Consider the following 21,210-nt stretch of genomic DNA (forward strand, 5'->3'; position numbering starts at 1 on the left):
TTAAACTTGGAGAAAACATCCAGTGAGCTGGCTCTCCTTACCCTTTCCAGAGTACTTACGAGTGCCTGTTTCTTCTGAAACCTGTTCACATAGTGGCATAGCATGTGCCACGGCTGCTTACTGCTGCTGGGCGTCTTTCCCTAGGGTGAGGGGTTCTCCTGTGGCAGTCCAGGGCCAAGGGCACTCAGGAAATTGCACACAGACCCAGTATGTCCTCTCCTCTGCAGCTCATACTCTCCTTTTGTTAACTGCCAACAGCATCCTTCATGGCATTGTTTCACTGTGTCCCAGGGTCCAGTTCAGGGGTACATCCTGCATGTGGCCGTCACATCTGTTGAGTAGCCTTTCACGTGGAATGGGGTCTCTGTCTCTGGTTGTCTTTCATGACATTGGTGTTTTTGAAGAATGCAGGCCAGTTATTTTGTCCATCATTCCTCAGTTGGGGTTCGTCTAATGCCTGGATTATGCATCCCAGACAGGAATATTCTAAAAGCAATGTGTCTTTATCACATTTTCCCTTCCGGAGCCAAACAGTGTTCATCTGCCTCATGACAAAGCTAATTTCTTACTGGTCAGGCTGTTACCTGTCTTTTCCATTATGTAGTTTCTGATTTTATTTCTTTGACTAATCAGCAAAATGTAGGGAAACATGGGTCACAGGCCTTTAAAGCTGGGAGGTTTCAAACTGCTCCCAGGGATCCTGCCCCAGAGCCGATTGTGGTGGTGAGGAATCTAGCCCCTCCACTTCTCTGGGGATCAGAGATGCACCATTTTCACCTGTTGCTACATATTTGGTTCCCAAATAAGATTTTATTTTGAGTCAGGGTTTTCCCTGCTCTCCTAGACCTCCCTCAAAGCGCGGGAGAAGGATCTGAGGCATGAAATGCAGCCATGGCCCATTTCGTCAAACTGTGGTCTGCACTCAAGTATTTGTATTCTAGTCTAAAAAGCTTTTCATTACTCCTGTTCAACTGATGGATAAGCCAGATTGTCGGCGATCCTACATTTGATGTTAAAAACTGATCATCTTTTCTAAGATTCTTAGTTAAAATGTATTTAATATTAAAAATTTTCAGGACAGGATGTGTATAGCACGTGTAAGATGAAGTGTTGTCCTGGGTCTGTTTTATAGGAGGACAAAGACACTGATTCTACCAAAGAGCCTCTGGATGACCTTTTCCCCAATGATGAAGACGACCCAGGGCAAGGAAGTGAGTGATGGGTGATGCAGGCATGTTACCGAGTGCAGAAGAGAGGTGTTCCTCCTAGAACACGGTCATAGCAATCAGTGGCAGCCTTAGTGCATGCGGCCTGCCTGGAGGAAGCACCACCAGAGCGGGGTTGCCTTTGGTTTTCCAAAATAATCTGTGTTGTGATACGGGAATATGCTAGAGCAGACCCTAGGATACAGCGGCATGCACGTGCAGTTCAGGCGTGGTCTGCAGATTCTTACAGGGTGAAGAGGTCAGAATTACTTATCCTGCTTGTTTCATGGCGCCAAGAGGAGTCTCATGGCACTGAGTGGCCATGTTGCCATCCCTGACACTGTAGTCACTACTCTTACCCTGCCTGCCCAGACAGTACTAGGAAAAGATTTAAATAGCACTGGGGGCCAAGTACTAACTTGAACCAAAGTTAGTAAAGATAATTTTAAAGAAACTGACTCATCTGGATAATTGTCTTTAAAAACCCATCTGAAGTGAACTTTCTCGGTGCAGTCCAGCAGCAGCACAGCAGTGCAGCCGCGGCTGCCCAGCAGGGCGGCTACGAGATCCCCGCGCGGCTGCGGACGCTCCACAACCTGGTGATCCAGTACGCCTCGCAGGGGCGCTACGAGGTAGCTGTGCCCCTCTGCAAGCAGGCCCTGGAGGACCTGGAGAAGACTTCAGGACACGACCACCCGGACGTGGCCACCATGCTCAACATCCTGGCCTTGGTGTACAGGCTAGTCACTTTTGTTTACCTACTGAATTTTACCTAGAGACAATGTTTTTAACCATCTTGCCCCTTAAAATATATTTTTATGTATCTGTATAAACTATTTTTCAACCATATCCACTTCTCTTTAAACAGGGGTTAAATTAAAAATATTTAGCAAGCTTTTTTTTTTTTTTGAGACGGAGTCTCGTTCTGTCACCCAGGCTGGAGTGCCGGGGTGTGATCTCGGTTCACTGCAAGCTCCGCCTCCCGGGTTCACGCCATTCTCCTGCCTCAGCCTCCCGAGTAGCTGGGACTTCAGGCACCCGCCACCATGCCTGGCTAATTTTTTTGTATTTTTAGTAAAGACGGGGTTTCATCGTGTTAACCAGGATGGTCTCGATCTCCTGACCTCGTGATCCGCCCGCCTCAGCCTCCCAAAACGCTGGGATTACAGGCGTGAGCCACCGCGCCCGGCCTATTTAGCAAGCTTTGTGGAAGGGTGTCACTGAATCAGAAGAACAGATGCTGCCCGTGACCACTCAGTTCAGCTTGTTTAGAATAGACCACAGTGTACCCCTAACGCCAGCCAAACGAAGCTGTTTTGACCTTTTCCACAAGACCCTGTGCAGGCGGCTTCTTTTGTCTAAATAGCCTTCCCACTTGGCCTGGCGGTGTCTTCCTGCCTTCTGAGGCCTGGTGCGCTGTGCCTCCTTTTGGAATCCGGGATTCAACTTGCCCTTTGCCCCTTGTGTGCTCCCCGAACCCTTTCACCCCTGTTGAAGGACGCCCCGGGGGAGTGGTGGGCTCTCAGTTGTGTGGTAGAAGAGTTCCTTTGGCTCAGTGCCTAGGATGCAGTTGGGGGCTGGAGCCGGAGGCAGGGTGTCCTGTTGGGACAGGATTGAGGTTGTCGGGGTGGGGCGAGGGGAACCTGAGCAAGGAGGAGGACGTGGAGGAAGAGGAGAGTACAGGGCCTAATGACGCTTGAAGAGAAATGCGGTGATATGACTACCCACACGCATAAGTGATTTCTTTAAAAATAAGTTTTGAAAGTTGATAAAATAAAAACACACAAATAAGAAAGTAAGCCCCCTGTTATAACAACACTATTTAAAATGAGGCCGTTCCCTTTGGCTCTGTAGTTTGTCAGCAGCTTGGTCTGCCCCATGACTATGCAGCAGGGTTTCGTGGACATTCTGGACATTTTTTGACTGTTTTCCTGTTGGTGAATGTTGAGATTGTTTGCATATTTTCTTTTTTCTTTTTTTTGAGACAGAGTCTGGCTCTGTCACCCAGGCTGGAGTGCAGTGGTGCAATCTCAGCTCACCGCAACCTCTGCTTCCTGAGTTCAAGTGATTCTCCTGCTTCAGCCTCCTGAGTAGCTGGGATTACAGGCATGCGCCACCATGCCTGGCTAACTTCTGTATTTTTAGTAGAGACGGGGTTTCACCATGTTGGCCAGGCTGGTCTCAAACTCCTGACCTCAAGTGATCCTTCTGTCTCGGCCTCCCAAAGTGCTGGGATTACAGGCATGAGCCACTGTGCCTGGCCAATTGTTTGCATATTTCACTGCAGGAATTTCTTAGTCAGAGATATTTGCATTTAGCTCTTAATTAGATTGAGACATTTCATTGCAAAAAAATTTTTTTTTTGAGATAGGGTCTTGCTCAGTGATGCGATCATGGGTCATTGCAACCTCTGACTCCTGGCCTCAAGCAATCTTCCTGCCTCACCTTCCTGAGTAGCTGGGACCACAGGCATGCACCACTACACCCAGCTAAATTTTATATATTTCATAGAGACAGCGTTTTGCCATGTTGCCCAGGCTGGTCTCGAACTCCTGGGCTTAAGTGATCTGCTCAGCTCGGTACCCCATAGTGCTAGGATTACAGGCGTGAACCACTGCACTTGGCCAAGGCTTTTTTTTTTTTTTTTTTTTTTTTAAACTTATATGCCCATTAAAACATATGGAAGTTTCTGGACAGCACTGGATATTATTAATATAAATGAGTTAAGTAAGCATAACTAGGTTTTTGTTGTGCACAGCGTGCATGGGCACACACATCACTGCTGGGTGCTGGGGATGCCATGGCCTCTGTCAGTCTTGTGTTTTTCCCTAGCATTATAGTGTGAGAGTTGACCCACGTGCGTAGATGTTTGGGAAAAAAATAGTAGCTACATATGTATTCATATTCAGTATTCTACCTTTCAGCTTGTTATTTCATCATTCTTGTATTAAGGGACACATAATTTTAAGCTTTTTTTTTTTGCCTTTAATATTTTACTGATCTTTATAAGGTTTGTTCAAGATTTTGGATTGATTGATTGGTTGTAGAGATGGAGTCTCACCATGTTGCTCAGGCTGGTCTCAAACTCCTGGGCTCCAAATGATCCTCCACCTTGACGTCCCAAAGTGCTGGGATTATAGGTGTGAGCTGCGAGGTACCACGCCTGGCCAGGATGGATTGATTGATTTCTTTTCTTTCTTTCTGTCTGTCTGTCTGTCTTTCTGTCTTGTCTTGTCTTGTCCTGTCCTGTCCTGTCTTGTGTCTTGATGGAGTTTTGCTCTTGTCGCCCAGGCTAGAGTGCAGTGGAGTGATCTCAGCTCACTGCAACCTCAGCCTCTGGAGTTCAACCATTTCTCCTGCCTCAGCCTCCCAAGTAGCTGGGATTACAGACACCTGCCACCAAGCCCCGCTAATTTTTTGTATTTTTTAGTAGAGACAGTGTTTTGTCATGTTGGCCAGGCTGGTCTCAAAACTCCTGACCTCAGGTGATCCACCCTCCTTGGCCTCCCAAAGTGCTAGGATTACAGGTGTGAGCCACTGTGCCCAGCCATGTATTTCTTTTTTTAGGATAAATTCCTAAGACGGGTTAGAGTATAAACATTTTATAGTCCTTGGTACCTGCTGCCAAACTGCCACTCAGAAAGGCTGTGTCTGCCCATGCTTCTGCCGCACAGGCGCCACCCTGGAGGTGGGGGGCTCTATTCCGTTGGTGGAGATAGAGTATGCATTGTGTTTTAATTTGTATTTCTTTGATTATGTATTTTTAGTCATTTGTATCCTTCTGTGAATTTCCTGTTACCTTGCACATTTTTCTGTTAGGATTTTAATGCTTTAGTATTCTATGTTTGTTTTCTTTTGAATTTGAGTTCTTGGTGGGCTTCTTTTTGTTTTTTTTGAGACGGAGTCTCGCTGTCACCCAGGCTGGAGTGCAGTGGCGTTGTCTGGGCTCACTGCAAGCTCCGCCTCCCGGGTTCACGCCATTCTCCTGCCTCAGCCTCCCGAGTAGCTGGGACTACAGGCGCCTGCCACCGCGCCCGGCTAATTTTTTGTATTTTTAGTAGAGACGGAGTTTCACCATGTTAGCCAGGATGGTCTTGATCTCCTGACCTTGTGATCCACCCGCCTTGGCCTCCCAAAGTGCTGGGATTACAGGCATGAGCCACCGTGCCCGGCCCTTGGTGGGCTTCTTAAACCCACTTGATTTAACAAATCACAGTGTGCTAGTCCCACTCCCAGAGTTTCTGATTCAGCAGGGCTAGGGTAGTCTGGGTTTCTAATAAGTTCCAGTTGAGGCTGACTGCTGTTGGTTTGGGACCACACCGGAGAACCACTGCTAACTAATAGTCCCAGACATTTTATAATATGTCATCGTTTACAGAAGTGTTTAATATACCTCATCTCATTTAATTCTTTTTTTTTTTTTTCTGAAACGAAGTCTTGCTCTTGTACCCCTGGCTGGAGTGCAATGGTGTGATCTCAGCTCACTGCAACCTCTGCCTCCCGGGTTGAGGCGATTCCACCCACCCCGGCCTCCCAAAGTGCTGGGATTACAGGCGTGAGCCACCGTGCCTGGCCATTTTTTTTCTTTCTTTTTTTTTTTTTTTTTGATACGGAGTCTTGCTCTGTCGCCCGGGCTGGCATGCAATGGCATCATCTTGGCTCATTGCAACCTCTGCCTCCCAGGTTCAAGCGATTCTCCTGCCTCAGCCTCCCTAGTAGTTGGGATTACAGGTGCCCGCCAGCATGCCCAGCTAATTTTTTTTATTTTTAGTAGAGACAGGGTCTTATCATTCTTGGTCAGGCTGGTCTCAAACTCCTGACCTCAGGTGACCCACCCGCCTTAGCCTCGCAAAGTGTTGGGATTACAGGCGTGAGCCACCATGTCCGGCCTCATTTAATTCTCATAACACTTTAGGTAGCTTATTTTATTTTATTTTTTTTACACGGAGTTTCACTCTTGTTGGCCAGGCTGGAGTGCAATGGCACAATCTCAGCTCACTGCAACCTCTGCCTCCTGGGTTCAAGCGATTCTTCTGCCTCAGGCTCCCGAGTAGCTGGGATTACAGGTGCCTGCCACCACACCCAGCTAATTTTTGTATTTTTAGTAGAGACAGGGTCTTGCTATGTTGGTTGATCTTGAACTCCTGACCTCGGGTGATCTACCCGCCTCAGCCTCCCAGAGTGCTGGGATTACAGGCGTGAGCCACCGTGCCCAGCCTTGGTAGCTTATTTTTAAATTGCATTTGCTACAATTCTCCTGCCTCAGCCTCCCGAGTAGCTGGGACTACAGGTGCATGTCGCCAGGCCTGGCTAATTTTTTGTATTTTAGTAGAGATGGGGTTTCACTGTGTTGCCCAGGCTTGTCTTGAACTCCTGAGCTCAGGCAGTCTGCCCGCCTCAGCCTCCCAAAGTGCTAGGATTGCAGGTGTGAGCCACCGCACCTGGCCACTACTTTTTGGAACTCTATTTTGTACTTGCTGACTTTCACAAAAAGTTTGAGGCAGCTTACAATAGGATGTAATAGGATGAAAGAAGAAACAACAATATATTAATACGTGGCCAGAATTAGTGTGCTTCAGAGGTTGTAGAAGCCTTATTAACCTTTCTCACGTTTTTCAGGGGAAAGCCTTGCCAGGCAGTTACTACTACTCAATTGAGAAAGATGTGTGCTAAGTCTCAAAAGCAAGTACTTGTTCTCAGTCACATCAGTAGTGAGTAGCACGCTTAAACTGAGAGTTTCTGGTTCTGGGGTGTTTCTGTTTTACTCCAATCAAGAAAGATTCTTCGTTCCTCCATACTCAACAAAATGGAGGGAGACTGGGTACCAAGTTCAGACACAACAATATATTTACTTTTGTTTGTTGTTTTTTAAAATATTTTTTCAGTATACATGTAGCATATCATCTTCTTACAGCAAGACTGTGCAATAGATCATATACTTGCTTTGTAGATGGGAAGGCTGGGACTGCGTGAGGTCACGTAATGCACCCAAAGCCATGTAGCCATTAACTGGTAGAGCCCAAGCTCAGACACTAGAATTAATTCTGTCTGAAACCAAATGCAAGCTTGGTCCATTGTTCTAGACTGTTGCACTTATTCTGTGCTGGCCAGCTGGCATAGGCAGGACAACACTGTAGTGTGGGGACATTATCTTCCCAGTGGCCTAGATGGGAAGGTTAAGTTCAGAAGCTAGTTGGGTCTGATTCCAGAGTTCACCTTGCCAGTCCATTTATTGGTGGATTTCCTTCCAGTGTTTTTTCCCCATCCATAAGCTTGTGGTTTTTCTTTTTTCTTTTTTTTTTCTTTTGAGACGGAGTCTTGCTCTGTCACCCAGGCTTTAGTGCAGTGGCGCGATCTATGCTCACTGCAAGCTCCGCCTCCCGGGTTCACATCATTCTCCTGCCTTAGCGTCCCCAGCAGCTGGGACAACAGGCGCATGCTGCCATGCCCGGCTATTTTTTTTTGTATTTTTAGTAGAGACAGGGTTTCACTGTGTTAGCAAGGATGGTCTCGATCTTCTGACCTCGTGATCCGCCCGCCTCAGCCTCCCAAAGTGTTGGGATTACAGGCGTGAGCCACCACACCCATCTTTTTATTTATTTATTTTTTGAGACAGTCTCACTCTGTCGCCTAGGCTGGAGTGCAGTGGCACGATCTCTGCTCACTGCAAGCTCCACCTCCCAGGTTCACGCCATTCTCCTGCCTCAGCCTCCCGAGTAGCTGGGACTAAAGCCGCCTGCTACCACACCCGGCTAATTTTTTTGTATTTTTAGTAGCGATGGGGTTTCACCATGTTAGCCAGGATGGTCTCGATCTCCTGACCTCGTGATCTGCCCGCCTCAGCCTCCCAAAGTGCTGAGATTACAGGCATGAGCCACTGCACCCGGCCCTGTGGTTTTTCTTAAATAGTTTAAGCTTAACTTTTATTTCTGTAGTTGAAAATTACATTTAAAAAAGCTGTAGTGAGGCCGGGCACGATGGCTCATGCCTGTAACCCCAGCACTTTGGGAGGCCTAGGCGGGTGGATCATGAGGTCAGGAGTTTGAGACCACCCTGGCCAACATGGTGAAATCCCGTCTCTACTAAAAATACAAAAATTAGCCGGGCGTGGTGACAGATGCCTGTAATCCCAGCTACTCAGGAGGCTGAGGCAGAGAATTGCTTGAACCCGTGAGGCGGAGGTTGCAGTGAGCCAAGATGGCACCACTGCACTCCAACCTGTGCAACAGAGTCAGACTCTGTCTAAAAAAAAAGAAAAGAAAAGAAAAGAAAAGCTGTAGTGATCTACATCTGAAACACTTAATGTGTGTTTTTCCATTTAGGGATCAGAATAAATACAAAGATGCAGCTAACCTACTGAATGATGCCTTGGCTATTCGTGAGAAAACTTTGGGCAAAGATCATCCTGCGGTTTGTATATCCAGTTCTTTCATTCTTTTAATATTTTATTTTCCCCATATATTTCTTTTATCCAACTCATTTTACCATTAAACTCAACAGGGAAAGTTTAAGTGCTGCCTTTTCCCTAGATGGTGCAGGTAGGAGGTCTTCACTTACTCAGTGCTAGTGACAGGCCAGAGCACACTTAATTTGTTTATGACCCCACCTCAAATGGATCACCAACTGTATTGTTTGATTGTAAATCAAATTGCATGTCCTTCTAGAAATTTTTTTCTGAAAATTATATTGTCTTCATTAAAATCTGGTCAGATTTGCATATGAATCTGTTTTGGTTGGCTTTGTGGCTTCCAGGGAAATTTTTAAAAAGTCAGGAATACGTTGTTGATTTGTTTAATTTTAGTATTCTGCAGTGTTACTTTGTATAATCTATACTCTAGTGAATTGCGCTTTTCATTTTAACTGAAGTCATATTGTTCTATCCGACTAAGAATGCTTTACTGTATAGATTGAATATAAATGAATATGTGGTGTATAAATGTACTCTTATTTGGTTATCTTTTACCATTCTTAGTGGTTCTCTCTGTGTTGACAGGTGGCGGCGACTTTGAATAACCTTGCAGTCCTTTATGGTAAAAGAGGGAAGTACAAAGAAGCAGAGCCGTTGTGTAAAAGAGCTCTGGAAATCCGAGAAAAGGTACAAAAGAAGGGGGCAGTCGTTTTCTTTGAGATTTTTGTTTTGTGTGTGTGTGGTTTTTTTTTTTTTTTTGAGATGGAGTCTCGTTCTGTCACCGGGCTGGAGTGCGGTGGCGTGATCTCGGCTCACTGCAACCCCCACCTCCATGGTTCAGGTGATTCTTCTGCCTCGGCCTTCCAAGTAGCTGGGACTACAGGGACACACCACCACGTCCACCTAATTTTTGTATTTGTAGTAGAGATGGGGTTTCACCATGTTGGCCAGGATGTTCTCAATCTCTTGACCTCCTGATCCGCCCGCCTTGGCCTCCCAAAGTGCTGGGATTACAGGCTGAGCCACTGTGCCCGGCGCTGTTTTTTGTGTTTTTAAAAATTTTTCGGTTTTAGGTTTTGAGAAATAACCACTGTGATGTGTTTTTAACTGACTATTAGCTGAAAACAACTCATTTAATTAGAGAATAGCCCACAAAACAAAGCCAGATTGGCCCATACAAATCAGTGTTTAAGACTCAATTACAGGCTGGGTGCAGTGGCTCATGCTTGTAATCCCAGCACTTTGGGAGGCCAAGGTGGGAGGATCACTTGAGCCTAGGAAGTTTAAGACCAGCCTGGGTAACATAGTGAGACCTCGTCTCTAAAGAAAAAAAAAAGAAAAGAAGGTCCAGTTATGAGGCGTGTGCATTTAGAAAGGTGCAGTCCTGAGTCTGATGCTGTCCAAGCCTGATATGGCCTAGAAGTGACTCTGATTGAAGAAGACATGTCTGAGGACTAGAGATGGAAAGCCTGGGAGCATTGCATTTGACAGTGGAACATGTGCTTGTCAATAAGAAAAACATGATTAAAGATAAATTCACCAAATATGCTTTATGAAGCTGAAAAATGAAATAATTATTATTATAACTAAAGATTAACTCAGAGCTATAGATTAAGTCAATGTCATATATATTTAATACCAGCTGCTACAGTTCATGGTAATTAGGTATTAAAAAATATAACAACTTGTTCATTTCAGCAGTGCTGTGTATGACAATCTCTTTAGATGTTATGAAGATTCGGGTATTGGGTCTATCCGATGAGTGACCACAAATTGTGTTTTTTTTTTTCTGAAACGGAGTCTTGCTGTGTCGCCCAGGCTGGAGTGCAGTGGCACGATCTCGGCTCACTGCAGCCTTCGCCTCCTGGATTCCAGGAATTCTCTTGCCTCAGCCTCCTGGGTAGCTGGGATTACAGGCATGTGCCACAACACCCGGCTAATTTTTGTATTTTTTAGTAGAGATGGGGTTTCACCATGTTGGCCAGGCTGGCCAAGAACTCCTGACCTTAGGTGATCCATCTGCCTTAGCCTCCCACAGTGCTAGGATTACAGGCATGAGCCACTGCACCCAGCCGCACAAATGGTATTTTAACCTGGTATTTTTTGTGATTATTTATCAGTGATTCTTATCAGTTAATTTTGAGCCACATGGCAAGGAATTGGGGGAGAGAAAATAAAAAGGGGCTCCTTATCAAATTATACAGGTAATATTTTATCATGCTGTCAATCTGCATGATATTTCTGAAATAGAATGGTTGAATTTGGGGTGGGCTGGAGTTAAAGTCAGGGAGAGCACAAAAGTATCAAATTAAGGATTAGGAACCATATAAGATGACCTGCCAAATTCATTCATATATTTACCCTTTCATTCATTTAGAGCCCCCTGCTTAGAGTTGGTGATTTACAGATCAGACATGTAGTTCCTCCCACTAGGACACAGTCCACTGGACAGACTGAGGACCGCAGAGGGCACATCAGCATCTAGAATAGAGAGCTCTGGGAGGATATGAAGTGTGGGCTTCTGCGGGCCAGAGCCAGGGGGTGTTGGGGATGGTTTCTCAGGGAAGGTCGGTGTTGGAACTGCATCTTGAATAATTGAGTTAAAAGTGTCCTAGGCAGGGGGAGGTAGGGAATGCAGAAGGGAGTAGAAAGGCAGCTTACCTCCCTGAGGACCACATGTGTAAAGGCACAAAGCGGAGAGAACTCATCACTTGTTCAAGGTACTGAGGGAGGAGGTTAGTGTTCATTCATCTATCTCTGTGCCAGACCCCTTTTTCGATGCGGAGATTACATTGGTGAAGAAGAGAGACAAAGAATTTATACTCTTGGGGCTTACATTGTAATAAAAAATATTCAAGGTAGTTTAGAGAAGTGATTCTTATAAAGAACAACCAGGTGATGTGCCTGTGAGTTCACTAGGTGAGGTGGGGTGGTATAGGGAAGTCTCCTTTGAGGGGAACTGAGGAGAACCCTGAAGGATAAGTCGTAGCTAGTAGGGAGGGCTAGGAGAAGAGCATCCTGGGCAACTGGGACAGCTGTGGGCTCTTCAGAAGCTGGCAGTAAAACTCACATAGCCTTTACAAAGCCCATTTCCTTATCTTCAAAATGTGCCTAATGTGTACATTTGTACATAGTACAACCAATGTACAAAAATATAACTACCATGAAGGATTACTACAGTAATTAACACAGCTAAAGAAGATGAGCACAGTTCCCTCCCTCCCCTCATGAATAAGAATTTGAGAAATTCTGGTTATTTTATTACTACGTGGTGTAGCGAGCCAGTTAAGGATTTAAATCTGAAAGTGTAGCACAGTCGTGCTTATGTTGAGGAAGATCCTGATGTGACAGTAGGGTGGAGAATGGATTGGATGGAAGCAGAACAAGTGTCTCTAATATGCTGTTTTTTATTTTCAGGTTTTGGGGAAGGATCACCCCGATGTTGCCAAGCAGTTAAATAACTTGGCCTTACTGTGCCAGAACCAGGGCAAGTATGAAGAAGTAGAATATTATTATCAAAGAGCCCTCGAGATCTACCAGACAAAACTGGGACCTGATGACCCCAACGTGGCTAAGACGAAAAATAACCTGGTGTGTTGACTGCACAGCACTAGGGAGGGGGCCAGGAGTGCTTTCGTCCCAAGTCCAAACACTTTCTCATTTAACTGGAGATTAAAATGTATGCTTTATTTACATCTGAAAGATATGAAATATTTTATTTTATTTTATTTTAAGGCATCCTGCTATTTGAAACAAGGAAAGTTCAAGCAAGCAGAAACACTGTACAAAGAGATTCTCACTCGTGCACATGAAAGGGAGTTTGGTTCTGTAGATGGTAAGAAATATACTCCCGTTTCAAGTGAATTTAATTGTATAATGACTTGACTAATAGTAATATACTAATAGTATTAGTTACTGTTTATTAAGCACTTAACTTTGTACATCACTAAGCTAAATAGTTTAAATGTGTGATTTCACTTCACTTTCACAGCAGTCTTGTGCAGCGGGTCAAACATTACCCCATTTTAAAAGCAAGGATACCACAGGCCGGGCGTGGTGGCTCACGCCTGTAATTCCAGCACTTTGGGAGGCCGAGGTGGGTGGATCACGAGGTCAGGCGATCGAGACCATCCTGGCTAACACAGTGAAACCCCGTCTCTACTAAAAATACAAAAACTTAGCCGGGTGTGATGGCGGCCGCCTGTAGTCCCAGCTACTCGGGAGGCTAAGGCAGGAGAATGGCGTGAACCCGGGAGGCGGATCTTGCAGTGAGCCGAGATCGTGCCACTGCACTCCAGCCTGGGCAACAGAGTGAGACTCTGTCTCAAAAAAAAAAAAAGACACCACAGACTAAGTGACTTGTGTGAGGCCCCGTAGCTGAGAAGCAGTTAGACTGGGATTACAGTGCCCAGAGCCCATAACATGTCCTCATTGCAGAGACCTATACAGTTCACGCAGAAATGGAGACAGGAGCATCACCCAAATCCATCTTCATGTCCTCATTGCAGAGACCTACCCAATTCATGCAGAAATGGAAACAGGAGAATCACCCAAATTCATCTTTTCACATTTTTAATGTCTTTCCTTCCTTCTGTGCCTTTGGTTTACAGATTTCAAACCATACCGTCCATATCATCATGTATACTGCTTATTTTCTTTACATTTTTAGTGTGAGTACCTTTCAGTCATAAAAATATTTTCATAAACATTACTTTTAAGGTGGCTTTTTCCTCCATAGCATGGGTCTGTTGGTTGTCTAGAAACTTGCGTGAGTGTTCCGAGAAGATGACTTAAAACGAATATTGATTCGTATGCTTGTTTTCTTTTTTTTTTTTGAGGTGGAATTTCGTTCTTGTTGCCCAGGCTGGAGTGCAATGATGTGATCTTGGCTCACTGCAACCTCTGCCTCCTGGATTCAAGTGATTCTCCTACCTCAGCCTCCCGAGTAGCTGGGATTACAGGCACACACCACCACGCCCGGCTAATTTTTGTATTTGTAGTAGAGACAGATTTTCACCATGTTGGCCAGACTGGTCTTGAACTCCTGACCTCAGGTGATCCTCCTGCCTAAGTCCCCCAAAGTGCTGGGATTACAGGTGTGAGCCACTGCACCCGGCCTTGATTTGTATCTTTTCTACTTTTGCTAGCAACATCTTGCTACTTTTTCTTAGACTATTGTTTAATGTTTTTGTTTAGTGCTCACATTCTGAATACTCCCTTGTGCTACTTGAGCAGCTGGCATTTTAGAAATTACATTCCAGGGCCCTAGCATTTGCTGGGGTGTCTTGACAGTTGCTCACCTGTCTCAGGACATTGATTCTGTACCCTGTGTCTTACCTGTTGCTTGGTGTCCAGCTCTGTCGTCCATAGACTTTTTCCTCCAGTGTGAACCTAATCTGTCCATGCTGTAAGAAGTAGTATCTAACAAGGATCATATAAAAAAGAAAACAGGCTGGGCGCGGTGGCTCACGCCTGTAATCCTAACACTGGGAGGCTGAGGCAGGTGGATCACTTGAAGTCAGGAGTGACCAGCCTGGCCAACATGACGAAACCCCATCTCTACTAAAAATACAAAAAAATTAGCTGGGTGTGGTGGCGGGTGCCTATAATCCCAGCTACTTGAGAGGCTGAGGCAGGAGAGTCACTTGAACCCAGGAGCTGGAGGTTGCAGCGAGGCGGGATCACACCACTGCACTCCAGCCTGGGCAACAGAGTGAGACTCCATCTCAAAAAAATAAAAAACCACAGAGGCTTCATGATTTCTAGTTTACTTAGCAGGCTCTGTTATCCTTCATTTATAGTACAGGTTAAATATCCCATTATTCAAAGTGCTCCAAAGTTTGAAACTTTTCGAGTGCCGACTTGACACTCAAAGGAAATTCCCCTTAGAGCAGTTCAGATTTTGGAGTTTTGGATTAAGGATGCTCAACCTGTATGCTGTGTTTTCTTCCCTAGATGAAAATAAACCCATCTGGATGCATGCTGAAGAAAGAGAAGAATGCAAAGTAAGAATTTATTATTTTGAGATTTTCTAAATTGTATATACTGCATTCAAGATAATTATTCATTTGAAATTATTTCTTATAATTTAGGGAAAGCAAAAGGATGGGACATCTTTTGGAGAGTATGGCGGCTGGTACAAAGCCTGCAAAGTTGATAGGTATGTCTGGAATTGCGTTTGGCTGGAAAAACCAAAAAGCAGGGGGAAGGTAATTGTGTTCTACAGGGCAGCTTATAAATGACCAATGTGTAGTGTTCCTTAAGTGCACAGTCCCATGTTTTTCCCGAATTCCAATTAAAAAAACCCCACTAACCTTGTAAATGAGATCACTTACATGTATAAAACCCACTATCATGTTAGGTTGGTGCAAAGGTAATTGCGATTTTGCCATTACTTTTACTTTTAATGGCAGAAACCATACAGTAAATTCATGAGAAGCATGCCAGCAGGCCTGGGAAAGCCAGCCCCTCACACACAGCGCTGGAGACACAGATCCACACACACTCCTTTTCCTCACAGCCCATGGGGCCTTGTCCTCTGCAGAGGGAAGTGTAGGCCCCTCCGTGGCCGGCCCGAGAGCCTTGCCTCTTGAGCCCGAGCCTGTGCAGACTGCCCTCTGTGATGGCTGCTGTCCCTGGGTCCAGGTGGCTCACCTGTTTGGCTGTCTTTCCACTCTATTTTTTTTTTTGAGATGGAGTTTCGCTCTTGTCTCCCAGGCTGGAGTGCAATGGCGTGATCATGGCTCACTGCAACCTCCACCTCCCAGGTTCAAGTGATTCTCCTGCCTCAGCCTCCCGAATAGCTGAGACTACAGTCTGTCGCCATGCCTGGCTATTTTTTGTATTTTTAGTAGAGACAGAGTTTCACCGTGTTGGCCAGGCTGGTTTTGAACTCCTGACCTCAGGTGATCCACCCGCCTCGGCCTCCCAAAGTGCTGGGATTACAGGTGTGAGCCACTGTGTCTTTCCACTCTTAACTTTCCTCATCCTTTAAGACTCAGCCTACCATTCATCTATTTTCAGAAAACTCTCTGAACTCTCTCTAGGGCTCCCATAGCACTTACCATAGATTACTTGTTTCAGAGACATAGAAAATAGCTTCTTTATTTCTGTACCCAAAATGCCTATTGTAAGTAAGTGAACAGAACTCTCTCGAAGTACTTATCTATGCTAAAATGAATCTAGGTTTATTTATAATTTTTTTAGTAAGTCTGCTCTATCAAGAATGCAGAAACATCAAGCTCAATGATACAGTTTGAAAAATAAGAAAGAAAGAAAGAACACAGAAACACAGCCGTCCTCTCGGCCATCTGCTTATTGCTTCCCTGGTACATGAAGCATTTATCCTCTGCCCTCACACCCCACTGATAAGGAGGTTCTGCTTTGCTGTCTTCTCCCGGGTACTTGAGGGGAGACGGCAGCACGTGAGCAGCAACATTCAGAGCACTGTTCGTCGTTACTGTCAGCGCAGACCAAGTCGTCTCCAGGGAAAGCATGCTGATACCACACAGACCTGGCCCAGATGTTTCTGTTGACAGAGTGGCCAGTGGTCTGTGAGAGCCGCCTCAGCCTGGATGGAGTGTGGTGTTAGCCTGGCCTGCAGGGGCTGTCTACAGGACGGGCCAGGGTCATGGGAGGTAGAGCTACCTGAGAGGGAAGAACGCTTTACAATTTTACAGTTTCAGAAAAGTACAAGAGAAAGTTAAAATATATTCAAGCCAAAACAGAAGTCTGTTAGTTCTTTAGATTATGTGCTGTTGATAGTGGTTGTTCAGAGCTTATATGTCATAGTTCTGTATGTCATGTGCTTTCTTACAGTCCAACTGTTACAACCACTCTAAAAAACCTTGGGGCACTTTACAGACGTCAAGGCAAATTTGAAGCTGCAGAAACGTTAGAAGAAGCTGCTATGAGGTCTCGTAAACAGGTTAGTCATACTTCTGTCCTTAACCGGCCCATGGGAACTTTGAATTGAATGCTTCTCTTTTACATGAATTTTATTGAAAGCTTGATTTAGAAATAGAAAATGTTGATTATTTTAGTTTGAACAAATAAAGTTATATTGTTTAAAAGAGCATGAGGCCGGGCGTGGTGGTTCACACCTTTAATCCCAGCACTTTGGGAGGCCAGCGTGGGCAGATCACCTGAGGTCAGGAGTTCAAGACCAGCCTGGCCAACATGGTGAAACCCCGTCTCTACTAAAAATACAAAAATTAGCTGGGCGTGGTGGCACACGCCTGTAATCCTGTAATCCCAGCTACTCGGGAGGCTGAGACAGGAGAATCGCTTGAACCTGGGAGGTGGAGGCTGCAGTGAGCCGATATCATGCCACTGCACTCCAACCTGGGTGACAGAACGAGACTCCGTCTCAATTTAAAAAAAAAAAAAAAAGCATGAGGCTGGGCACAGTGGCTCACACTTGAATCCCAGCACTTTGGGAGGCCAAGGTGGGTAGATTGCCTGAGGTCAGGAGTTCGAGACCAGCCTGGCTAGCATGGAAAAACCCCATCTCTACTAAAAACACAGTGCAGTGGCACAAGCCTGTAGTCCCAGCTACTGGGGAGGCTGAGGCAGGAGAGTCGCTTGAACTCAGGAGGCAGAGGTTGCAGTGAGCCGAGATTGCACTACTGCACTCCAGCCTGGGCAACAGAGCGAGACTCCGTCTCAAAAATTAAAATAAAATAAAATAAAATAGCATGAATATGACCCCAAAAGCATGAACAGCAAAATAAAAACTAGATCTGTTGGATTCACCAAAGTTAAAAGCTCTTGTGCATCTAAGGACATCATCAAGAAAGTGAAAGGGGACTGGGTGTGGTGCTGAGCACCTGCAATTCCTGCACGTTGGGAGGCTGAGGTGGGAGGATCCCTTGAGCTCAGGAGTTGGAAACCAGCCTGGGCAACATAGTGATACTTTGTCTCTACAAAAGTTTTTTTTTTTAAATTAGCCAGGTGTGTTGGCCCAAGCCTGTGGTCCCAGCTATTTGGGAGTCTGAGGTGGGAGGATCGCTTGAACCCGGGAGCTGGAGGTTGCAGTGAGCTTAGATGGTACCACTGCACTCCAGTCTGGGCAACAGAGCGAGACCCTGTCTCAAAGAAAGAAAAAAAAAAAGAAAAAGTGAAAAGACCCCCATGCAACAGGGGAAGATATTTGCAAATGATGTATCTCATAAGGTTTTGGTATCCAGACAAAAAGACAACCCAGTTAAAAAATGAGCAAAGGACCTGAATACACATTTTACTGAAGATGATATACAGATAGCCAACAATCACATGAAAAGATACTCAACATCTTTAGTCATTATAGAAATATTAACTGAAATCACAGTGAGATACTACCTCATCCCCACTAGACTGGCTATAATAAGCGAACAAATGGAAAATAGGCATTGGTGAGGAGGTGGAGATGCTGGAGTCTCATGTCTTCTTGCTGGTGGGAATGTAAAATGGTTCAGGCATTGGAGAAGTTTGATGGCTTATCTAAAAGTTAAACTTAGAAAACCACATGACCCAGCAGTTGCAGTCCTAGGTATAGACCCAGAATAGTTGAACACGGGTACACACCCTGTGCAATCCCAGCCCCATCACTGTTCCTCTGAGGGGTCCTTTGTGTTTCCAGTTCCCCGCCTCCACCCTCACCCCCTCCAAGGAACCACTCTTCCAATGTTTTTCCCTCCAGTGATTAAGAACTGTTTTTTTTTTTTTTTTCTAGCGAAGTATCTCAGAAATACCTAAGAAAATCTTAAGTGCTAATGGGTCAAACCATTTTCCCCTGCCTGGCTCACAGGGTCTTGACAATGTTCACAAACAGAGGGTGGCAGAAGTGCTCAATGACCCTGAGAACATGGAGAAGCGCAGGAGCCGTGAGAGCCTCAACGTGGACGTGGTCAAGTACGAGAGTGGCCCTGACGGAGGGGAGGAAGTGAGTATGAGCGTAGAGTGGAACGGGGTAAGTACAGTACACAGCGGGCACGTGCTCCGGGAGGCGCCCCCAAGTGGCGCTTGCCAGGCCTTCCTCCTGTCTCATGTGCTAGACCTTCTGCTTTTCTCAAATTAAGTGCCAATTAAGCTTTCTGTAAGTTCTTCACTTCTGCTAATACTGAAGTCTGTTATTTGTTTAAAGTGGTAATTTTCTTCTCAGGAATCCATGAAAGCTGTTTGGCTTAACTTTGAGCACTTAAATGCTGATTGAGTGTCCTGGCTATTTAAAGCATGATCCCTGTCTGGTTTCATTTTAATATTGGGATCAGTGTGGCAGATAACTAACTTGCTTCTTTAACTCACCCATTTCATTGCTAACTCCAGTGCTCCTAACTTCACTGACCAGGCTGCTCTAGATTTTGTTAGAATGAGTTGAAATGCTTTAAAGGGAGATGCTGTTTAAGTGGAATTTGTTTTTAGAAAACAGGTCAGAAACAAGAGCTTACATGGCTGCTCTCTTGATGTCCTGCCTCAGTCCTGAGCGTCCTGCATTTCCCCTGAGAGGGCGTCCAGATCTTTGGGGCTGGCTCTTCCTGGTTGCCAGCCCGCCATGTGCCTGAGAGGCTGCACAGGGCCCCCTCTGGGTTTTACTGGTTTGCCCCTGGAAATTCCTAACCACTGCTGTTTATCCAGTGGTTGCCAAAGACCATGTGGCCTTCTGGACATTTTTTCTCCAGTGAATTTTTTAGCACATGGATTTTTTTTTTTTTTTTTGATACATAAGCTGATGTCTTTGGTATTTTACTTTTGTCAGGGAGAATTGAAGGCGGCATTTGACTCATCTAGGGGCACAGTTGGTTTTTTGAAGTTGCCGTAGTACAGTTTGATTAGTTATAATTCTACAGATGTTCTGCCAAATTGTAGTTTTGGGCTTTCTTACAATGTAAATCCTTTTATTCTTTAGGATTTTCTATAGCTATAGCAATTTGGTAGGAGCTAGCATTCTAAATAAATATTTTATAAAAAATGTTAGTAGCAAAATTTGAGGGAGAACATTCTCTTTGACTGTCTATCTGGCAGCTTTCTTGCTTTGGTTTTTCTCTGTGCCAAGACAACCAATCAGCATCTGCTTTGCCCACTCAACCCCAGTTGGGCAGTAGTCTAAACTGAAATCCTGGCCCGCAGGCCTCCCTGTCGCCCGCATCCTGTCAGAACTGTGTACTGTACTCTTCTCTTGGTTGCTGTCGTATCTGCATGCTTCGTATAGAAGGACAAGTCCTTTATCTAGGCTGTAGGAGCCAGGGTGCAGATTGTGATCCTCTTGAATGAAGTTCTGGAGGAAGTTTCTCTTGAGACAGTATTTCTAGGTCCATGTTGACATGAAATCATCTGATGATAAAATGGTGACGATTCAGAGCTCTGTTACCATCTTAAAGATGGACTCGGAGAGGAAGGAGAACTCGTGTCCCCTGCAGGGGGTTCGTGGGCAGGTGTCCCCGTCAGGCCCGCGGGCTGGAAGTGTCGCTGCTGGGGATGAAAGCAGCTGCTCCTCTGCACGCCTGCTGGTTTCCTCCTTCCACGCTTCCTTTCTCACTTTGGACACCTGATTCTATAGGCCATGTGCAGGCTGTGTATCTGGTGTGTCCCCTGATAGCTCTGCAGGTTTGATGGAATTCATCCCAGGGTGCGTTGGCCACGGGTGATCTACCAAAACAGTTTGAGTTTTAAATTATCCAGTGCAGTGGTTCCTAGACTCACTTTGTGCATGGAGGCAGCCCCCTCTTCAGATGGAGTCTTAGATAAAATGAGTGAATTCACTGGGTGGGCAGCTGAGGCTGCCTCAGAGTCTTCAGAGGAAGGCCTTGGCCTCCAACCCCACAACTCTAAGGTTCTGAGAAGGCAGAATGCTAAACTCGACCAACTTTTGATTTTCTTTTCAAAGTACACTTTTTCCCCCCCGAGACAAGAATCTTGCTCTCTCGCCCAGGCTGGAGTGCAGTCACGCTATCTCGGCTCACTGCAACCTCTGCCTCCTGGTTCAAGCAATTCTCCTGCCTCAGCCTCCTGAGGAGCTGGGATTACAGGTGTGCGCCACCACACCTGGCTAATTTTTTTATTTTTAGTAGAGACAGGGTTTCACCATGTTGGCCAGGCTGGTCTCTAACTCCTGACCTCGTGATCTGCCCGCCTCGGCCTCCCAAAGTGCTGGGATTACAGGCATAAACCACCGACTTTTCTTATTTTTTAAATGGTAGGGCAGTATGCACATAGGTATTAATTTTTAATCAACTTTTTTGAGGGATAATTAGAGACAGTAAAAGGGGCCCATTTTAACTGTTGTCTGATTTAAATATTAACACGGTTCAGGTCAGCACATTAGTTTGTCTTTATATAGATGTTAGAACAAAGTTTCTCATGCTGTTTCTGTTTAAGTGAAAATTTCCCTGAGATTGCAAAGCAAACCGTTACCACTGTAGCCACTTACTTGTGTGCATCAAGATTTTTTTCAGTATTATGCAATTAAGTTAAAATAGAGACATAGGTGTTGAGGTAAATGTTAAGACTATACCTTGCCGGGCGCGGTGGCTCACACCTGTAATCCCAGCACTTTGTGAAGCTGAGGCGGGCAGATCACGAGGTCAGGAGATCGAGACTATCCTGGCCAACACGGTGAAA

At 45.4% G+C, this 21,210-nt stretch overlaps 1 protein-coding gene across 32 annotated transcripts in view, besides 1 other annotated feature; it reads left to right on the forward strand.

Moving 5' to 3' along the window:
• Positions 1-21,210, forward strand: part of KLC1 (kinesin light chain 1) — a 72,334-nt gene that overhangs the window by 31,773 nt on the left and 19,351 nt on the right. For 9 of the 32 annotated variants that reach the window (NM_001394840.1, NM_001394844.1, NM_001394852.1 and 6 more), the window contains exons 4-13: positions 1,133-1,211; positions 1,719-1,944; positions 8,528-8,615; positions 9,199-9,300; positions 12,031-12,204; positions 12,349-12,448; positions 14,569-14,618; positions 14,706-14,773; positions 16,432-16,540; positions 18,401-18,535. In NM_001394840.1, coding sequence (NP_001381769.1) covers positions 1,133-1,211; positions 1,719-1,944; positions 8,528-8,615; positions 9,199-9,300; positions 12,031-12,204; positions 12,349-12,448; positions 14,569-14,618; positions 14,706-14,773; positions 16,432-16,540; positions 18,401-18,535 — 1,131 coding nt within the window. Of the gene's footprint in view, positions 1-1,132; positions 1,212-1,718; positions 1,945-8,527; positions 8,616-9,198; positions 9,301-12,030; positions 12,205-12,348; positions 12,449-14,568; positions 14,619-14,705; positions 14,774-16,431; positions 16,541-18,325; positions 18,563-21,210 lie in introns of all 32 variants that reach the window. The other 23 variants (NM_001394837.1, NM_001130107.2, NM_182923.4 and 20 more) reach the window with 6 other exon arrangements.
• Positions 12,837-13,336: an enhancer, noted in NCBI's record as "H3K27ac hESC enhancer chr14:104140157-104140656 (GRCh37/hg19 assembly coordinates)". NCBI's record gives its function as "activates a minimal SCP1, AML or CMV promoter by ChIP-STARR-seq in primed H9 embryonic stem cells {active_cell/tissue: H9 hESC(primed)}" and the evidence as "EXISTENCE:reporter gene assay evidence [ECO:0000049][PMID:30033119]".

Source organism: Homo sapiens, chromosome 14 (assembly GCF_000001405.40).
Source record: "Homo sapiens chromosome 14, GRCh38.p14 Primary Assembly".
NCBI lineage: Eukaryota > Metazoa > Chordata > Mammalia > Primates > Hominidae > Homo > Homo sapiens.